The sequence below is a fragment of the Homo sapiens genome, chromosome X (genome assembly GCF_000001405.40).
Source record: "Homo sapiens chromosome X, GRCh38.p14 Primary Assembly".
NCBI lineage: Eukaryota > Metazoa > Chordata > Mammalia > Primates > Hominidae > Homo > Homo sapiens.
Genome location: NC_000023.11, coordinates 101,227,539 through 101,247,554, shown reverse-complemented (window position 1 = coordinate 101,247,554; position 20,016 = coordinate 101,227,539). Strand labels below are relative to the sequence as shown.

The 20,016-nt window shown below is 45.6% G+C and overlaps 1 protein-coding gene across 5 annotated transcripts in view; it reads right to left on the bottom strand.

Moving 5' to 3' along the window:
- The window catches only part of DRP2 (dystrophin related protein 2), a 44,717-nt gene that overhangs the window by 16,948 nt on the left and 7,753 nt on the right, over positions 1–20,016 (bottom strand). For 2 of the 5 annotated variants that reach the window (NM_001939.3, XM_047441894.1), the window contains 10 exons: positions 15,791–15,970; positions 11,532–11,695; positions 9,780–9,936; positions 8,454–8,574; positions 5,619–5,887; positions 5,084–5,230; positions 4,573–4,651; positions 2,478–2,538; positions 2,106–2,167; positions 391–465 (listed from right to left, as the gene is read on the bottom strand). In NM_001939.3, coding sequence (NP_001930.2) covers positions 391–465; positions 2,106–2,167; positions 2,478–2,538; positions 4,573–4,651; positions 5,084–5,230; positions 5,619–5,887; positions 8,454–8,574; positions 9,780–9,936; positions 11,532–11,695; positions 15,791–15,907 — 1,252 coding nt within the window. In that variant the 5' untranslated portion in view covers positions 15,908–15,970. Of the gene's footprint in view, positions 1–390; positions 466–2,105; positions 2,168–2,477; positions 2,539–4,572; positions 4,652–5,083; positions 5,231–5,618; positions 5,888–8,453; positions 8,575–9,779; positions 9,937–11,531; positions 11,696–15,790; positions 15,971–20,016 lie in introns of those variants that run through there. The other 3 variants (XM_017029333.2, NM_001171184.2, XM_047441895.1) reach the window with 3 other exon arrangements.

Sequence of the window (20,016 nt, the reverse complement as noted above, 5' to 3'; positions counted from 1 at the left end):
TATTATATCCTCAGCCACACTGTTCCCTAACCACTGGTATTTGCTTCAACAGTTTTGCTGCTACATCCAATAACCCCAAGATGGCAAATCATGGGTTGCAGTACTTCCTGTCACAAAGCAGTTGCTTGATTATACATACTGAGCATGGGAAAAGGGTCAAGGAGGAGCATAACAGTGGGGTTAATTTGGAAACACGTCTGGGGCCTAGCGAGAGTGGAAGGGAACTGGGAAGAGCAGAAGTTGACAGCTAGCATATTGCAGGCTTTGGAGAGTTTCCACCAAGCCAATCAACAACCTTTGCCAAGGTGGGAGGAAAATGAGAAACAGCAGACAGATGAGGAACAGGAGAGGGGTGGTGAACGTCATAGGGAAGTACAACAGGAGACGTACAGCGCAGGGCTTTCTGGACTCTGCGGAGTTTCATGGCAGTGCGATAAGCTGAGAACTTAATGTTGTTCAGATCAGCTGCAAAGAATGGAGAGAGACCCACTCAGATCAGAAAAATTCAAGTTAAAGCCGCAACAAGATACCATTTTACACCCACCAGACTGGCAACCAATAGATGTCTGACAATAGCAAGTGTCAACAAGAGTGGGGATGAATGAGAACTGCCAGTGAAAGTGTGAACTGACACAATCATCTTTGAAAACAACTTGGTATCACCTAGTAAAATGGAACAGTCACATATCCCACCACCCAGCCAGCTATATATCCCAGAGCAGTGACTTGCAAATGCTTTTTGATCAAGACTTACAGTATGAAATTCATTTTATAGTATACATGTATATATGTAAAAATAACTAAATCAAACATTTCAGGAAGCAATTCCTTACTAGATTGCATAGAGTGAAAACAACAAAATTAATATCAACTATGACTCTTGCTAAGGATCTGTTGCATATTAATATTTCCTGGTCTATTTCAACTTTTTAAATGTTTGTCACAACACACTGAAATGATGTTATGACCTGCAGACTGAAAAACATGCCCCAGAGAAATCTTTGCACACATGTACTGGAAGACACATATAAGAAACTCCTCAGCAGCACTGTCCTCATTAGCTTAAAACAAGAAATGACCCACGTGTCTGTCAACAGCAGAAACTGTGCTATATACAATGGAACATTCTATAGTGGTAAAAAAGAATGAACTGTAGTCACATGCATCAGCATGGATAAAATGTGCAACAAACATAATGATGAGTCTCTCACAGTAGGCAAAGATAAGGCACACAAGAGTTACGCTCATCACAGCCTGGACAGTCTTTTAAAGCAAATCAGACTTCACATCTGTAAGAATAATGCACTAATCCGGTGATAAAATGGTCCAGAGGGGAATGTAGAGCCTCCAGTTGAGAAAGGTGCGAGGATAAAGGAAGGCAGGCTGTTGGAGAAACGATGAGGCACTCATTCCCTCTCCCACCTGCTTATTGACTGCGATTCTCTTCTATTCTTTTTAAAACCACTTTATTGAGTTATAGCTGACATATAAAAAGCTTTACAGATTCAATGTCTACAAGTTGATGAGTTTGGAGACAAGTATGCATCTATGAATCCATCACCCCAATCTATGCCATTAGTACATCCATCACTTCCAAAAAGTTCCAACTACCCTCTTTATTGTTTTTTTCTGTAAGAACACTTAACATAAGATCTACCTTTTTAGCAAATTTTTAACGATACAATCCAGTATTGTTCACTATAGGTAATATGCTGCACCGTAGATCTCTCTAGGACTTATCCATCTTGTATAATTGAAACTTCTTTGTACTCTTGACCAGTATCTCCCCATTTTCCCCTCCCCTCAGCCACTGGCAGCCACCATTCTACTCTCTGCTTCTATGAGTCTGTCTATTTTAGATTCCTTACATACATGAGATCATGTAGTATTTGCCTTTTGTTTCTGGCTTATTATTTCACTTAGCACAATGTCCTCCAGGTTCATCCACATTGTTTCAAATGGCAGTATTTCCTTCTTTCTAAAGGCTGAATATTCCATTACATGGATATACCACATTTTCTTTATCCATTCATCTGTAGATGGACATTATAGGACAAAGGCAGCTGTGTATATGCCCACCCTATACAGGAAGCCCACATTCTTACCTAGGGTTTGGTATAACTCTGTCATCTTGGGATGGTCCCAGCATGTGGTCTGAGCCTGGTGGCTACAAACAATAGCATCAATAGTACCAGCATCTATACCACCCACCCACCCCCACACTCAGATGTGCACACCACTCAAGTGACAGGTTGGATGCAAGAAGCTGCAGGGTTCGAGGGTAAACCCAAGATGCCAAAGCCCAAGGGTTCACCTTTACCCAAGTAGAATCTTGAGATCTTGAGATGAGTAGGAGAAAAACCGAACTGGATGGAGGAATCCCAACAGACAGAGTGACAAGGACAGGTAGCAAAAAGGCAGGAGAGGGAGGGGGTGGGCAGGTGACTGACCCGCTTCTGATTCAGATGGTCACTCACTTGATGTAGTAGGGAACTTTATTGGGTGAAATTGCTCTTTCCCAGGGAACCTGGACAGAGGCTGGTAAAGGAGAAGAGAAAGAGAAAAAAAGCTGGCCACTAATGCTCTTAAGGCCCCCAGCTACTCCCTTGCTCTATTCTCCCAAAGAGGTTGTCAAGCCCAAAAGGGGATGTCTGAATTTCATTGCCAGCTCTTAACAGCCTCTGAGGGTGGGACAAAGAGTTCTAATGAACACGCTTCTCTCCCTGATGTTAGGGCAAGGCAAGGAGAAGAGGTTGTCACCGATATCCTAACATACCAGAGATGTGGCAAGGGCATGAACAGGAATACTTGGCCTTGGCCACCCTGACAATCTTCTCCCTGAGCAGACTGCCATTTCTACCCATCAGCTGCAGGCAGCTGGATTACTCTTGCGGATATGAAGTAGACTCCACTTTCCCCTTAGGGCTCAAAGCTCTTCCCCTAGAAGGTCAAGCTTCTCAGTCCTGTGGGACTGTGGGTAATGGTACTGCCCATTTCTCTCTCTCTCATGAGGAACTCTGGAAACTCATGCCTCTCTCTGCCTGTGTCTATCTTTTGGACCTTCCACGAATGGCTCAGTTTACATGGCCAGCTTGCTCACTGCAGTTTTCCTCGGTACAAGAGTCCTCCGCCTGCAGGTATAGCTGTATGCCAATGATTATAATAGCAACAATTTTAACCACAGTTAACATTTACTGAGCTCCTACTATGTGCCAGATATTATGCTCATTGCTTTGTGTGCATATCTCATTTTTCTGTCTGTATATTCTCACCATCTCCACTGCTACCAGCCCCCTAGTCTGGGCCACCATAATCCCTCACCTGGATTATTGCAATGTACCTCCAAATAGGCCTCCCTGTTCCCACTCTTGCTCCCCAGTAGTCTCTTCTCAACACCCTGACTCTGTTGAAACATAAGGCAGATCATGCCATCCCTTGGCTCAAACCCTGCCGATGGTTCTCCACTGTACTGAGAATAAAATCTGAAGTTCCTCCCATTGCCTACAAGGCCTTACATGCTCCAGCCTCCCCTACTCCCCCACACTTTGCTCTCCTTACTGTTTCTTGGACACATCCTTACCTTAAAGGTATGGAATATGCTGTTCCCTCTGCCTGGTATGCTCTTCCCTCAGCTATCATCCACACGGTTCATCTCTTCATCTACTTTAGACCTCTGCTCAATTGCCACCTTCTCAGTGAGGCCTCTGCTAACCACCCTGTTCAAAATTGCAACACCTCCATGCTTAAGTCCAGCACTCCCTATCCACGCCTTCCCTGCTTTTTGTCCATAGCCCTTGTCACCAAGTAACCTTATATATATTTTACTTATTTGTTTGTGGTCTGGTTTCCCCAGCTAGAATATAAGCTGTCTAAGGATTTCTGTGTGTTTTGTTTACTGATGCAGCCCCAGTGCCTAGAGCAGTATCTGGCCCACAGAAGGCCCTCAATAAATATTGTTGAAAAAATAAAGTCATTTAATTCCCATAACCTGATGAGCTAGGTAATATTTTTCCTTCCTTTTACAGATGGGAAAATTGAGGTTCAGAAAGAGTAAGCTATTTTTTTTTTTGAGCCTGCACAGTTATTAGGTTGAGGTGCTGTGCCTCAGACCCAGATCTCTCCGATTTGAGAGATTGTGTTTTTTTTTTTTTTTTTTTGAGACGGAGTTTCATCCTTATCGCCCAGGCTGCAACCTCCACCTCCTGGGTTCAAGCAATTCTCCTGCCTCAGCCTTCCGAGTAGCTGGGATTACAGGCACCCGCCACCATGCCCAGCTAATTTTTGTATTTTTAGTAGAGACGGAGTTTTGCATGTTGGCCAGGCTGGTCTCGAACTCCTGACCTCAGGTGATCCGCCCACCTCAGCCTCCCAAAGTGTTGGGATTACAGGTGTGAGCCACCACGCCCAGCCGAGAGACTGTTCTTTTAACCACTATACCACACTGTTTTATCCTTACTGCTTCTCGGATGTCAAGGTATACTGGGCTCCCACCAGGGCCCCAGGGGATAACAATAGACTCTCCAGGAAGATGGCTGAGGTTCTGCTAAGTGGAGTCCAGTTTGGTTCACGTACAGGAGAGAAAGTGCTGTGACCCAGGCCCAAAGTCCCGGTGGGCATCCTGGAGCTGCTTAAGCCTCTCACTAACTGACGCCTATGGAAAGAACAGGGTGAGGTCAGTAGATTCATTCCAGCTATTTAGAGTGGGATCCCCAGGTGCCTCTGGGAATCTTTATGAGCTTCCTCAGGGACTGGCTTTTCTCTGGTTCCAGCCTCTCCCACCGTCACCCAACTCCTAGCCATCCCCCAGAACTCCCAAAGGTCACAGCAGAGCATCCCTAATTCCAGGCCACAGTCACTCTTCCCCTGCCCCTGTCTACCCTGAGTGCCCAAATCCAGAAAGACCCCTCTTATTCATTTTAATCATTCCCTGCAGCTTAGAGGTTGAAAAGCCCATTCCCTAGCTCCACATTCTCCACTCCTCTTTTCCCATGCAGATCCTATTTCCATACCCCTGAAGAAGTTTCCCCCAAGCCTAGTTATATGGAGGCACCTCCCCATGGTTCACTCCAGGCTGCTCTTCTACCTGTAGTTGTTTCCATCGGACGTTGATCTGTTCCAGGGCCTGGGAATTCTCCATTGACAAGTGCACATCAGAAATGGCAAGTTGGTGGGCCAGATCATTCACCAACTTTACTCCATCTTTCATGGGGGAGAATTCTTCTTTGAACAGCTGGAGAACCAGGACCCAAGTGCCACAGCAGACAGAGTGGGAAAGAAGAAACATTAGTCATTCACCTCTACTCTTCCCTCTTCACCCAGAGGTTTTGTTTCAATAACACAGCCTAGTGCTTGCCTATTAGGGCAACCAGACTAAGGTGTGGGCGGCCACTGTCCTTATCCTCTTCCTCTCATCCTCAGAAAACACCAGGAAAAGAGAAGAAAGTAGGAAAACAGAAGAGACTCCAGCCAAACCAGCCCCAAATCTAGCACATAAACTGACAGCAACTCAGTTGTAGTCCAGGCCAACAATGGAGTCTCAGCAGCAGAAACATTGTCAGTGTCTGGGGAGAGTGTCAGGTCTCAGGGTAGACTGTAGTCAGGGGAGGGGGCTTGCATACCTTAATAGCCTGGATGTGCTCTGGGAGTGAATCAATGAAGAGATCCCCAATGGGCTCCCAAGTGGCTCGGACTCCCTCAGCTTGGCTCAGAGTAGTGCTTAGTTCCTCCATTGCCCCTTGAATCTCCAAGAGCTGCTCCAGAGTCCGCTCAATGTGACGGTGCTGGTCCACACAGCGGGCTGTCAACTTCTCCCACAGTTCACTGGCCACCGTCGCCTGCTTCCATACAAAGCGGCTGAGATTCTGGATCCGCTGTTTCGGGGAGGTATCTGCAAGAGGAGGCAGGAAGCCAGGTTAGGCCAACCAGGCAGGGTCAGCTCAAAGAAAGAGACAGAAACAGCCCTTTATAAAATGTGTGTGTATGTGTGTGTGCACATGTGGGCATGTTTGTGTATATATTCATACACACACAAATACATATTTTTCCATGGTTGAGCCCTTTAATACAGTCACGTTTTTTTTAAAAAAAAACTGTTTATTTTTAAATCATTGTAGAGTCATAGGCAGTTATAAGTAATAACACAGAGATTTCATGTACCCTTTACCCAGTTTCCCCAAATGACAACATCTTGCAAAACTACAGTATAATATCACAATCAGGATATTGACATTGACATAATCTGCCAATTTTGTCCAAGTTTCCCCAGTTTTACTTGTATTCGTGTGTGTATGTGTGTGTGTGTACACGTGTGTTTAGTTCTATGTGATTTTATCACATGCGTTGGTTTATATATCCGCCACCACAGTCAAGAGACCATATTGTGTTTTTCCACTTACTATATCATGAGGATTTCCTCATATTTTAAAACAGTAGGAAATGAAAAAGTAAGACATTATAAAAGGTATAGTGAGGCAAGTCATCTAGAGCCCTATTCATACGACCCTGGAATGTGATTTTGCATTAGTTTCTGTTGCCCACTTCCAGCCAAAGGGAGGCATTTTATGAAGGCTCAGCCCAGGAGAAGTTGGTATAATGTGTCTGGCTTTTCCACCTAGGCTCCTAATCTGTAGATTTCTTCTTCCTCCCTCAGATCTCTCCTCAGAAGATCCAGAGCCCCATAGCCCCAGGCTAACTAGAATTGTGCTGCTCTTTCTAGAGCTTGTCCTATCTGAGGCCCATCGGGCATCAAATTAAGTACTAGCCCTCCCATTGAAGGGCCAGAAATAAACTGAGATGGGCATATGGCATTGACAAAGGGCTCAATTCATGAAGGGTCCTTTCAGGCTATTCACAATCCATCTCAGAGGGTTGAGGATTCTTTTTGGAGAAGAGGGCTTGCTGGACCACCACTCAGATCTAGTCACCATGAGTCCCATCCCACTGCCTTATAGACCAGAGTGGCCCTCTCTATCAAGGGAAGGGGCTAGAAGTTATTGGAGTCAGTATCAAAGAGTCACAGTCGGCTGGGGGCAGTGGCTTACACCTGTAATCCCAACACTTCAGGAGGCCAAGCAGGCCGATCACTTGAGCCCAAGAGTTCAAGACCAGCCTGGCCAACATGGCGAGACCTGGTCTCTTCAAAAAACACAAAAATTAGCTGGGTGTGGTAGCATGCGCCTGTAGTCCCAGCTACTCAGGATGCTGAGGCTGAGGCTGAGGCTGGAGGATAGCTTGGGCCTGGGAGGTCAAGGCTGCAATAAGCTGTGATCACACCACTGCACTCCAGCCTGGGTTATGAAGTGAGAGGCTGTCTCAAAAACAAAGACTAAACACAAAAAAATTCCAAAGAGTCATAGTCAATTTGCCTTTCAAAGGCAATCATCACCTAACTTTTTAGATTTTATAAAGGTTTATTATTTGCTGGTTTGCATGTCCCTCGATGTTGGAATAAAGCAGTATTTTTAAATTATGATTATTTTAGTTTGTTATTTTATTGTATATTATTTATTTTTAGAGTCAGGGTCTTGCTCTGTTGCCCAGGCTGGAATGCAGTGGAGCAATCATAGCTCACTGCAGCCTCGAACTTCTGGGCTCAAGTGATCCTCCCATTTCAGCCTCTCAAGTAGCTGGGACTACAGGCACACACCACAAAACCTAGCTAATTTAAAAAAAAATTTTGGGCCAGGCGTGGTGGCTCACGCCTGTAATCCCAGCACTTTGGGAGGCCGAGGTGGGTGGATCACGAGGTCAGGAGATTGAGACCATCCTGGCTAACACAGTGAAACCCCGTCTCTATTAAAAATACAAAAAATTAGCCAGGCGTGGTGGCAGGTGCCTATAGTCCCAGCTACTCGGGAGGCTGAGGCAGGAGAATGGCATGAACCCAGGAGGCGGAGCTTGCAGTGGGCCAAGATCACACCACTGCACTTCAGCCTGGGCGACAGAGCGAGACTCCGTCCCCCACAAAAAAAAATTGTAGAGATGGGGGTCTCACTATGTTGCCCAGGCTAGTCTTGAATTTCTGGGCACAAGTGATCTTCTTGCCTCAGCCTCCCAAAGTGCTGGAATTACAGACATGAGCCACTGTGCCCAGCCAGCACTATGTTTTTAAAGGACATACTGGTACTTTTATTCATTGAGTCAGTTCAATTCATTTGAGTGGTTTTTTGTTTTTCTTTTCCACATCTCATTAAATGGCCACACATGCTGCTCCAAAGAGCCACATACAGCTTTGGGTCACACAACTGTTGACCCCTGCTCCAGGCTATATTCTCTTTGCTTTTTTTCCTGCAGTAGGAATCTTGCTTCCCCCCAACTTTGGATGGACTCCTGGGGGAAACTATCCTCCTAGATAACAGGTAAGAAAATGAGTTTGGGGAAGGCAGGAGGGTGTTTGTTCAGCATTCAGCAGTACATGGCTCAAGAAGAAGTGGGAAAAACAGAAGACCACCTACCTTTGCTCTCAGAATGAGGCTCCTCTAACTCCTCAAATGGGTGCTGGGACAGGAAGGCCTGAGCTGACTCCAGCACAGAATAGATGTAGGGGCCCCGAGACTTGACTTCTTCCATAAAGGCCTATAAAGTTTAGCAATATGGTCAACAGGAAAGGAAAGTTTTTCAATCACTTTACATTCCATCCTGCAATTGACAACCTTTCTTCTTCTCAGTGTGTCTTGATTCTTTGGCATTATCAGGTATCTTTGAACTACCTAGACAAAAAGGCGTGCAATCCTCCTGATAGACAGAAAAATAACTCTGACACTGGAAGGTCTGTTTAGTATGAAATTTGTCTGTCTATGCCACAGGATAGAGAAAAATGTGGGGATCTTGGTTCTCCAGAAGACTCAGAAAGCTTCCTGTAAGGGTCTTATGGAAATCAAAACCAAGATAGGCAGGATTTATATTAAAATTATAATTAAATTTTTGGTTGAAATATATACGGGATACACAAACTAAAACTGTACATCTTGATGTAACCAGTACTGAGATCAAGAAACAGAACTCTATCAGCATCCCAGGTGGGCCCTCCTAGTCACTATCTCACCTTCATGCCCCACCCCTCCCTCCCCTCCCACAAAGGTGACCACAATTTTTACTTGTAAAATCACTGATTAGTTTTGCCTATTTTTAAACTTTGTATAAGTGGAATCATACAGTATATACTCTTTTTGTATCCGGCTTTTTTTCACTCAACATATTGTCTGTCTGTAAGATTCACCCATGCTGTGGCACGTGGTTATAGTTTATTTTATTGCTGTATTATATTTCATTCTGTAGTCATTTTAAGAAGTATTTTAACTACAGCAGTAATATATATCACAGAAATATTAGAAATTTCAGAAAGATATGAAGAAAATTAAGAACTCCAATTTTATTACCTAGAGTTAACCATTGTTAACATTTTGATATAGTTCCTTCCTATGCTGTTATATGTATGTAAACATCACACTCATCTATATACATTTTTATACAATTGAGATCCACTTGCACTTAGTTTTGTATCCTGTGTTTTTTCACTTAGCATTATGTTATGTTCATTTCCCCATGTTCCCATTAAAAATCATGGCAGTATTTTAAGGGAGGCTAGAATTTGATGGGAGGGGTAGAAAGAAAATATTTGACTTAGGCTGTGGCATGCTAGCCACAGACTAATAGGACTGCATACAGCCTCCTATTCATTTAGGTGTCTCAGCAGAGCTGGGTGTCTGTCAGGGTACTGAAGAAGGGATTCCTCCCCAGCTGAGAGGCTACACACCACGGCTTCTCTGATTCTAACCTACCGCATGTGTCTCCTTCTCCTGTTGCACCAGGGCCACATCCCCCTGTAGGGGCAGCTGAGCTGACAACTCCTCATCCTTTTGGCTGAGCCAGTCAATAATCTCTTGAAGAGGGAGCTGAAGCTTTCCACTGTGGTCTGAGAAGGCCTCTAGGCGAGCGCTGCACACAATGAGTAAAACCAGTGATGTTCAGTCTTCTTTTTAAGTGGCAAAACATTTTTTTTTCCAAACTAAGTTATATGGAACTTTAATATAGAAAACAAATTCAGGAGGAGCTTTTCTGGTTCAAGTGGGAGGAGGCCTGGAGTCCTCCCTCTTACCCACCCAAAGAGGGTCCCAAGGCACCTCCACATAGAGCACAGTACTAAAACCAGTAGGTAGAACCATGGGTGTGGAGGCATCCCAAACTTCAATGGCTTAAAATGTCACTTTGTGGATCTCAGTTACTTCAGTTGCATGCCAAACATCAGGCTGGGAAGGGTAGGAAACTGAACAAGGGCATTAGAGGTGACAGCTGTCTGGTTCCCCTCTTGCCCTGGTAGAATTCAAGTCATGCCAAACTGCTCAACCATAGAGGCTGTTCCGAACTGCCCTCTGAGCAGGAGAGGATTCAGTAAGTGGAAAGGGCAAGTTGGGTGGTTGAGTATAGGCATGCACATGTGCAAGGATGCATACGAATATAACAGTCCTTGGGACCCAAAGGAACATTGGCTAGAGGTCTGAGATATGGAAACAGAAAAATCTGTACTGTATAATTATCTCTGTCTGCCCTCCTACCCCGCTGCCCTCCAAATGAACCATGGTAGGAAGCTGGAGGCTGGCCAAGGATATGTGCAGCCATCAAGCCATTCCCCTTGGCTGACAATAATAACTATCTTTATTCATTGCCCCCCCCTCACCACCACCTAGGCCAAGATCTTTACCTAAATTATTGCTTCAACTAATTCTTACAAAAACCTTATTAAGTAGGCATTCCTATTGCCCAGAAAGGGTAAGTAGGTTCCCAAAGGTCACACAGTTAAGTCATTGATAGAGCGATGATTTGAACTCAGGTTTACCTGACTCCAAAGCCTGCATTCTTTCAACTTATCCACAATGCCTCACCCCTAACAAAGCCCATCAGAAGCCAGAAGCTTGGACTTTGATGATAGAGGGTGGAGAAAAAAAGTGGCAGGCATGCACAGACAGCTAGGGAAAGCCGATCAACTGAGAAAAAAATTGACTTCAGGCTCTTACAGAGCTACCCTTAGTTTGGGGAGAAATAGGTGGGCTGAAAACTTATGGATAGAACGTAAAAGGATGGGGAAGTGAACAGATGAGACCTACCAAGATATAGGACAGCTATGAGAGGAAGAGGAGAAGGGAGCAATCATCCCCTTCATTTATACCTCGGCATTTTTAAGTTTAGAAAGCATTTCCACATCTGATTTGAATTCCTATGACCACACTGTGAGGTAGTTAGAACAGGTATTATTCCTCCACTCATTTTTTGTCCTTATAAAAAACAAATGGAAGCTAACATTTCGAGAACTCAAACAAAGTATTCAGGGTGACACAACTACTTAAAACTGAGGCTCAGATCCAAGTCTCCTGACTTCTAAAGCAAGGCTGTTTCCCCAGTGCCAGTGTAGGAAAGGGAGAAGTGGGTGGGCTAAGGAAAGGGGGATGCACAGGCTGAGAGGAGAAGGACAGGGTGCAGCAGCAAAAGGAGCCCAACACCATCTAAGCCAATTCCCTAAGGCACCTGTTTCTTACCGGAGGTTGTGAGACTTCTTTTTTATTTCATTCCAACACAGATTCATGGCTGGTGGTTCCAGGGGTCCAGAGGCACCAACAGACCCGTTCAACAGCTTTAGGCTTAGGCAGGGAACCCCAGCACCATCTTGAGGAGGTGCAGGGCTGGTGACAGCAGCTCTAACCTGGACAGAAACACAAACATCCTGTGATCCTTGGATTGTGCCACACCCTGGTCTGCACCAAGCCAAGGGTGAGACAAGTGTGAACAAGGGGAGAGAAGGGTTGCTGCCAGGGTTCAGAAATGCTATTCTCTGTGTGTTCAGGGACTGAGATGAAGAAAGACCCTGTGGTCCTGTTCATTGCCAAGTCTTCTCTTGGTACAGGTCAGTTACATAGAACTGCTGCCTACTATTATTGTTACTCATGATTATAAATTTTGGACCTAGGGAAAGGTTAACATTCCCAAGCTGGGCCCCCACTCCTCAGGACCACTGCCCAGATGGGGTCTTGGAAGTACCTGCATTAGGTAAGAAGCTGCACAGAATTGCCCAAATTATGGGCAACCATACCATTGCAGGTAAGCTGTTGGCTCATACTTCAGGGTCCTACAGTTTACCCAACCTTCTAGAAAAGCAAGCTGAGGAGTTTCTCCATAAAGATTTATAGAGGGAGTAGACTGGCAAGAGAGAACTATCAGTGGTCCACGTCTTACTTCCCATATGAAACTTGGCTTTGATGTGTCCACCACAGTCAGGAAGCCTGGACACAGTCTTCAAGAGAACTGCTCATAAAGATGAGCAGAGGACTCTGACCAGAGTTGATGGCCAAGAGGACAAGCCATGGAGCCTGCCAAAGTCTAGTCTTGAGCCCTCAGGCACACAGTCTATTGCTTGCTCTCCTGGGCACTGGTAAGGCCCTATGGGGGTAATTGTGGGGTTTGGGGGAATGGTGGTTATCCCGGATAGCCCTAAGGAAGGTAGCTACCTATAGAACAGTGTCAGAACTGCCCAGCCAGGGGGCAGGAGCAGGCAGAGGGAAGGGGAATTGGAGGAGGAAATCAGCCTGGGCTGCTCTACCCCAGACTAGGGAGACCCACACCTGCCTACCTGCTTGTCTACATGCTTGCCTTCATTTGCAAAGAAAATGGCCCTGCTAGTCAGTGGCCAAGACTCTTGTAGTCTCCCCTTGCCCCCAACCATACTTCTTTCCCACACAAGACTCTCCAGGCAATTTAGGAAACCAATCATCCCATTAAAACCATAGCTCACAGCCACACCGAGAAAGGGAAGTGAGGAAGCAGTCAAGCTATGGGAAAAGCTCAGCACTCAGCCAGCCTGCAGCCCCAGGAGCTGATCCTACCTGTGCTGCCTGGGGAGTCCATAGCAGGATCCGGCAGCTCCATGATCATCCCTCACCAGGAATCCAGACCTAGTGTCTGGTGAGCCACAAACAGGCAGAATCCTGACAGGCTCTGAGCAAGCCCTCTCAGGGAGGCAGGAGGGGCTGAGCCAGGCCAGGAGGCAGGGGTCACCCTGTTTGTTTACTGACCCCCCAGGAATCTGGAGGGGGCGGCTATGTCAGGGCCTGGCTGGTGAATCAGAGCTTTGTCTCTGGAGAATTCCGGTTCACTCCCAACTGGGCCTGCCACACCAGGGCCAGGATGGCCCTCTCAGGCTGGCAAGGATGGCGGGAGTGGGACTGGGCATTCCATGGTGCTGAGGAGGGGCATGCAGAGGGCAGCTTCTGTTGATTTATTTTCCCTTTCCATGGAAGACACAAAGGGCTCACTCTGCCTCTAGGCCCACCCCTCCCCTGAGGTGGAGGATAAGATCAGACCACTTTGGTGACAAGCTTCTGGTAAGCAATTTCCCTAAGACATAAGAGGATGGGCTTGGAAAATAAGCCTTGTCTTCAACTAAGTAAGCCTCCTCAGAGACAGTGAGGAAGGTTTGTGGCACATCTGGGGACAGAGCCATGGGATGGCAGCATCGGCAAGCAGGCGCAGCAGAATCCCTCTAAATGTGATTATCCTTGGGTGAGTGCAGAGGCCAGGAGATTCGTCAGAGTCTACTGTGAAAATGGAGGGGTGCTCTGCCCTGCCTTTGAGAGGCAGAGAGGAGTGGAGGGAGAGCCATAGCCCTCAGACCTCTCGCTGTACCCTGAGGCCAAAGGGAAATGGATAGTTAGTGGGCATCCCGTTGAATTTTCACAGGGGAGGGAAAGGGGTCACTGGGACCCAGCAGTTCCATGTAGGCAGCCATTGCCAGGGAGGCTCCTGTGTCCTGCCTGTGCTACCCTGGGTGGGGGCAGGGGAAGGCCCTTTCCTGTAAGCCACTGGCCTGAGGGGTAGGGCCCCTCCTGGAAGTGGCCACTCTTCTCCTTTTCCAGCAGACTTGTCTGGGGAAAGGTTAACATTCCCAAGCTGGTCCCCCATCCCTCAGCACTGAGGGAAAACACATCGTTTTTACCAAAAAGGGTTCTGTTCCCATCCTTATTTATCTCCCACAGAGTCTTCTGGGCTTTCCAACAGTTCCACATTGTTTCCATGCTGAGGTCCACCTACAGGAATAGTTGGAACAGCTGCCTGACTCTTTCTGGGGTTCTGGGGTGGAGCCACCCAGGGTGGCTGGGGGATGGCAGGGGATGGCAGGCCAAGAGCAGGGAGTCGTTCTAGCTCTGGGCCATATCTTCACTCATGCTGGGTCCTCTGCACTGGGAATGTCCAGAGTTAGAAAAAGCCCCTTGTGACCCAGCCACAACCAAGCTGTCCTGGCTCTGAGGGGAGCACCCACGATGAGCTGGGCTCTACCCATGTTAGCTTTGCATTCCCTGCAGACTTCTTGGTTTCCCAAATCCCCACCCAGCTGCCATACTATTCTCCATCACCCTGCTCTCCCTCTCCTACTTCCCGGTATACTCTCAAGTCACACCTAGCAGAGCCAGGCACACAATAGGCACATTTCTTTCTCCTTCCCTATCAATTACCTTCTACTTCTGGCTTTTGTAGCCAGGATATTTGCTTCTTGCACCCCACTCCCCTCAAGGCTCTCTATCCATCCCCTGAATCTTTGAGAAAAAGGTTGCAGGAAAGGAAGAGAAACTGGATCGTGGCAGAAGAGAGAAGTTGCCCATGCTATTGGCAATCACAAAATGAAGCCCTCAGGTTTCCCTGCCTACATGGTGGTGTTTGGAGGGGGTAGACAATGAACAGGGTAAGCCTTTGGAAGGGCTCAGTTTTCTTAATCCCTCGACCCTGTGAAAGTCCCACTCCGGGGAAGGGGTAGGTTAATGGGGGAGTCTATGTTGACTCTCGCTTTGAGAATATGTTCGAGGCAGTAATTTCTTTCTAGCTGGATGTGGGGAAAATAGCTCAGGGGGACCTGACTCTAATGTCTCTCTGGACCTTGACTTTCCTTCATTACTGCCCCCAAAACAGGCTCCCCAGCATCCACATTCTCCATCCCCACTTCCTTTCTTCCTCCCTTCCTCCTTCCTGTATATTCGGCCGCTGCCTGCCTCCCAGCAGTGACTCAGCACTGCAGCCCATCTGTGAGGCTCCAGGAGACATAGCACTTTCTCACACCCCCATAGTCTCTGGACCCCAAAGCATTGTAGGGCAACCAAAGTATGCTTATGCGTCTCCCTTCTCCAGTCAACTTTCCCTAGACCTCCCTCATTGTCGGGAAAGGGGGCTGCCCTCTCTACTGTCTCACACACATCCTCTACCTGCCTACCAACATACACAGGCGGACACATACACCACCACCATCGCACTACTACAGGAGCAGAGAGGACAGGCAGATATGGAGCTCATGGAATTCTAAGTGGGGATGAGCCAGGAGCTATGAAAAAGGCTAGGAACTTGAGAGGAAAAGCCGATGGCAGGAGAGAGACACCTGTGGAAAATGGAAGGCATGCCACAGAGAAGCCAAGCCAAAGGAAGGACCTGCCTAGTCCTAGACCATGCCCTGAAGGATCATACTCTTCTAGGACATTCCTGGACCTGTAACTCTTAGAAGGTTAACATGGAACCAGCCCCGCTCAGCTGCAGTGGGCCCTCTGAGCTGCCCAGCCCAACACCCTTCCTTTCCTTATGCCCCCCAATAAAAGACATAATGAGTAATAAAGGATGGGCCCAATATATTCCCCATGCTATCCAAGGGGTTGCATGTATACAGAGAGTGCCCCTGAGCCTTAGGAAGCGTGGGTACCCCAAGGACACACAGATCCTGTGTCCACTTTCTCCACAGGTCTTTCTTTCACTATCAGACTCTTACCTGAGGGTGGGGGCAGGTGCTTCGGAGGCTGCTGCTATGATGGAACTGGTCAGCTGCCTGCCAGTCATGACATCGTGGGAGGGTGTAAGGGCATCCCTGCATGACCATAGGTTGCATAAAAACCAAGGCTCATGGGGGGGATGAGGATAGGCAGTGCACCAACTATTGATCATTAAGCACCTGGAAAAGCAATACAGAGAGATTTCGAGTCAAGACCTAGAAAAGCCTATGAATCAAGCATCTACCCAGAGGTGCCTTGACCAGATATACAAATAAGTATTCAAAACTTACTGACCTACCCAGGCCACCATGTACCATAAAATACTTTATTTAATTATTGACCAAGGAAGCATTTATTGTTTACCTATAGTGCTTTGTGCTAGAGACATAAAGATAACTGCTGAGATCTCAAAGCCTAAGGGTGGAGGTGGGCAAGATGGGTAGGGGAGGCAGTCATGTATGCTGATAATTATAATAAAATGCTTACATAGCAAATGCTAAAATCAAGAGTTTACCAAAAGGCTAAGGGAGCACAGAGTGGGGAACAGCTAACTCTGAGAATATGCACGTATTTCAGAAAGAGCACACTTGAGATGAGTCTCAAAAGATAAGTAGATATTTGCTTGTGCAGAGGAGAAAGGGAGAATGGCATTCCCAGCAGACAGATCCACCTGTGCAAAGGTGGATGTCATAAAAAGGCCTAGCATGTTCAGAGGACAATGGGATCGGTATGGTTAGAGTTTAAGAGGCACAGAGATGAAAAAGACATGGGGGCTTCCCCTGAGGAGTATCACATACAGAGAGAACAAATGTGGAGAAAATAATGGCCATAAAGTGTTATTTGAGGTCATAATGGAATTGTTTATGGGATGAAGTGAAGAGACAGATGAGGGAATCGTGAGTTCTATCTGGTCATGTCAAGAAAAGTCTCCCTAGAGGAAATGTGCTTGAGGTGAGTCATGAAAGAGAAACAGATTTGTCATTAGGCAGTGAAGGTTAAAAAAAATACAAACATGAAAATTAAATATATGGTGTGTTCCGTGTGACCAGAGTACAAGGTAGGTGCCTTGTTGTGTGTAGCAGGAGGTGAGGCTGTGGCCACATTGGGCCATGCCTTGAATGACAAGCAGAGGATTGTAGGCTTTATCTTGTAGACAATGGGGAGGCACTGAAGATTTTAAGCAGGGAGTGACATAATGAGATTTGCATTTTATTTTATTTATTTATTTATTTATTTTAGACGGGAGTCTCGCTCTTGTTGCCCAGGCCGGAGTGCAGTGGCGCGATCTCAGCTCACTGCAACCTCTGCCTCCCAGGTTCAAGCGATTCTCCTGCCTCAGCCTCCTGAGTAGCTGGGATTACAGGTGCCTGCCACCATGCCCCACTAATTTTTCGTATTTTTAGTAGAGATGGGGTTTCGTCATGTTGGCCAGGCTGGTCTTGAACTCCTGACCTCAGGTGATCCACCCGCCTCGGCCTCCCAAAGTGCTGGGATTACAGGCATGAGCCACTGTGCCTGGCCGAGATTTGCATTTTAGAAAGAGCCCCCTGCCTTCCTTATAGAGTGATTCTCCAAAAGGAAGAACCTGTTGAGAAGCTGTTAGAATAGGCAGGCAGTTGCCGTGAGGATGAAGCAGACAGCATGACTCTGAGGTACATTGGAGAGGTAAAATACACTGGGCTTGATGATCAATTGGATGTGAACAGTAAGGGAGGAGAAGGAGTCAAAGGTTTCTAATTTGGGAGCTGAGTGGATAATGTTGCCAACAGCAAGAGAAGGAAGACAGGAGAAAGAGTAAATTTGCTGTGTAGGGAATAGGGGCAGTGTTGCATAATAAGCTATGCTTGAGACATATTCAGCTTTAGATGTAAAGAGCTAAGCTTAGTAAAGGAGAAATATGGGGACAAAGTTTAGATGTACAAACCAATTGATGGTTTAGAGAATGTAAACAAATGTGATGAGAATGGGTGGCAAAGATGATGCTTGCAAATAATAAGGTGATCTCTTTTAGTGTGGGGCAAAGACACACAAACCCTGATTCAAAGGGCCGGAACTGAGCATCTTTTATTCATGATGCAGATAATTAAATAACCACCATTTTTAGACTCTATTCCAGTGGTTCACAATGTTTTAGATATAAGAGGCCCTTCTTAAGACTAAAAAAAAAAAATCTCACTTCACCCACTCTCACCCACAATAGTAGCTGTACTTTTAGAACTTACCGAGTGAGAAAAACATTTATGCATTTAAAGATATGTGGACTCCTTGCATTAAGTACCCACCCCTCCTCCTCAGGAGACCATAGTCCAAAGAATGGAGATTATTACAAATCACAAGGGCACAAGAGGTTGTGGTCTAAAGGGTACTTTGTTGTAGTCAAAGTCCCTATAGATTATACAGCTATGTAGCTACTCATCCCCAAAGAATGACTGAAAATATGGCTCCTCTGTGATCAGACACCACAAAAGCATTAGTCACTTAGATTAAAAAATGAAGTACTGCTATGGATGTGTTATAAGCATAAAGGCTACAAGAGGCTTGCTTTCAGACCTCTTTTTATGTTAACATTTTTATTTTTGCTGATTATAGAAGTAATACATGTTCTTGATAGAAAAACTGGGAAATACAAAAAATAATAAGGATGAAAATAAAAATAATCTGTAATATTACCACCCAGAGATAATCATTACTAACAGCTATGAACTTTAGTTTTTCTCTGAAAAATATATACATACACTTTTAAAATAAAATCGCCATCACATGCTATCATTTCGTAGCCTGCTTTTTTCACTTGCCATTATATCATGGTCATTTTAGAATGTCATTAACTATTCCCTTAAAACATGATTTTTTTTTTTGAGACAGGGTCTCTCACTTTGTCACCCAGGCTGGAGTGCACTGGCGTGATCTTGGCTCACTGCAACCTCCCAGGCTCAAGAGATCTTCCTGCCTCAGTACCCCCAGGTAGCTGGGACTACAGGTGTGCACCACAATGCCTGGATAATTTTTTGTATTTTTGGTAGAGACGGGGTTTTGTCATGTTGCCAGGCTGGTCTCAAACTCCTGAGCTCAAGTGATCAGCCTGCCTCAGCCTCGCAAAGTGTTTATATTACAGGTGTGAGCCACCACGCCCAGCCTAAAACATGATTTTTAACAGCTGCATAGGAAGTACAGCACTGTGACTGAGGCCATGGGCACTGGCATCAGACAGACCTAGAGTCAAATCCACACTATTCAACCTATTAGCAGTGTGGTCCAGGACAAGTTAACCTCTCTGAGCCTCAGTGTCCTCATCTGCAAAATGGGGATAAATAATGATAGCATCCTCACAGAATTATTCTAATGATTAAAGTTAATAATTTAAATAACTTAGCACAGTGTCTGGCAACAATACACAACTCAATAAGTGTTAGCTATCGTCATTGTATAGTATCCCACTGAATGGATACACCATAGTTTAACAATTAGACATATGTTTATAGTTCTTCTTTTTTATAAATCAAAGTGCAGTGAACAACCTTGTGCATATTTGTGATTCTTTCCATAGGATAATTGCCTATAAGGGAGAATTCCTGGATCAAAGCGTTTATGATACATATGTCTAAATTGCCCTAGAAAAAGTTATATCATTTTACACTACTACTAGCAATGTATGAGAGTGCCAGTTTCCCAGCACACTTGTCCACAGTATGTATTCTTACTTTATTTGCCAACTTTGTAAGTGAAAATGGCATTTTGAGGATTACTTTGCGTTTCCTTAATTGCTAAAGATATTTAGCTTTTCCTCCACACTTTTAGTGGTCGTTTGTATCTCTTCTTTCATCAACTATCTCTTTTCTTCTCTTTTGAGATTCATTTCTCTCCAGATTATAAGATTCTTTCTTATTCCTCTACTGACCTGATGCTAGGTTAAGGCTTCACAAAACAAAACTAAGATAAACCAAGGAGTCAGAGAATTCAGACCTTCTAATCCTAACACAGGCAGAAAAGGAATAGATTTCTTCTGGTCCTAAAATGACTATCCTCTGCTCTTTTTAGACTTTGCCCCTGACTGTGACCTCAAGTCATATTGCCTCTCTAGGCCTTAGTTTGCTAATGTATCAAGTGTTAATGTTTAAGGGTTGCTAAGCACCAAACACTATCATTCTCTGTATTCATATAGCATGCCTTTGTAGTCGGCTGTGCTGTCTTTCATGATCCTCAGTACAACCTAGTAAAGTTGTCC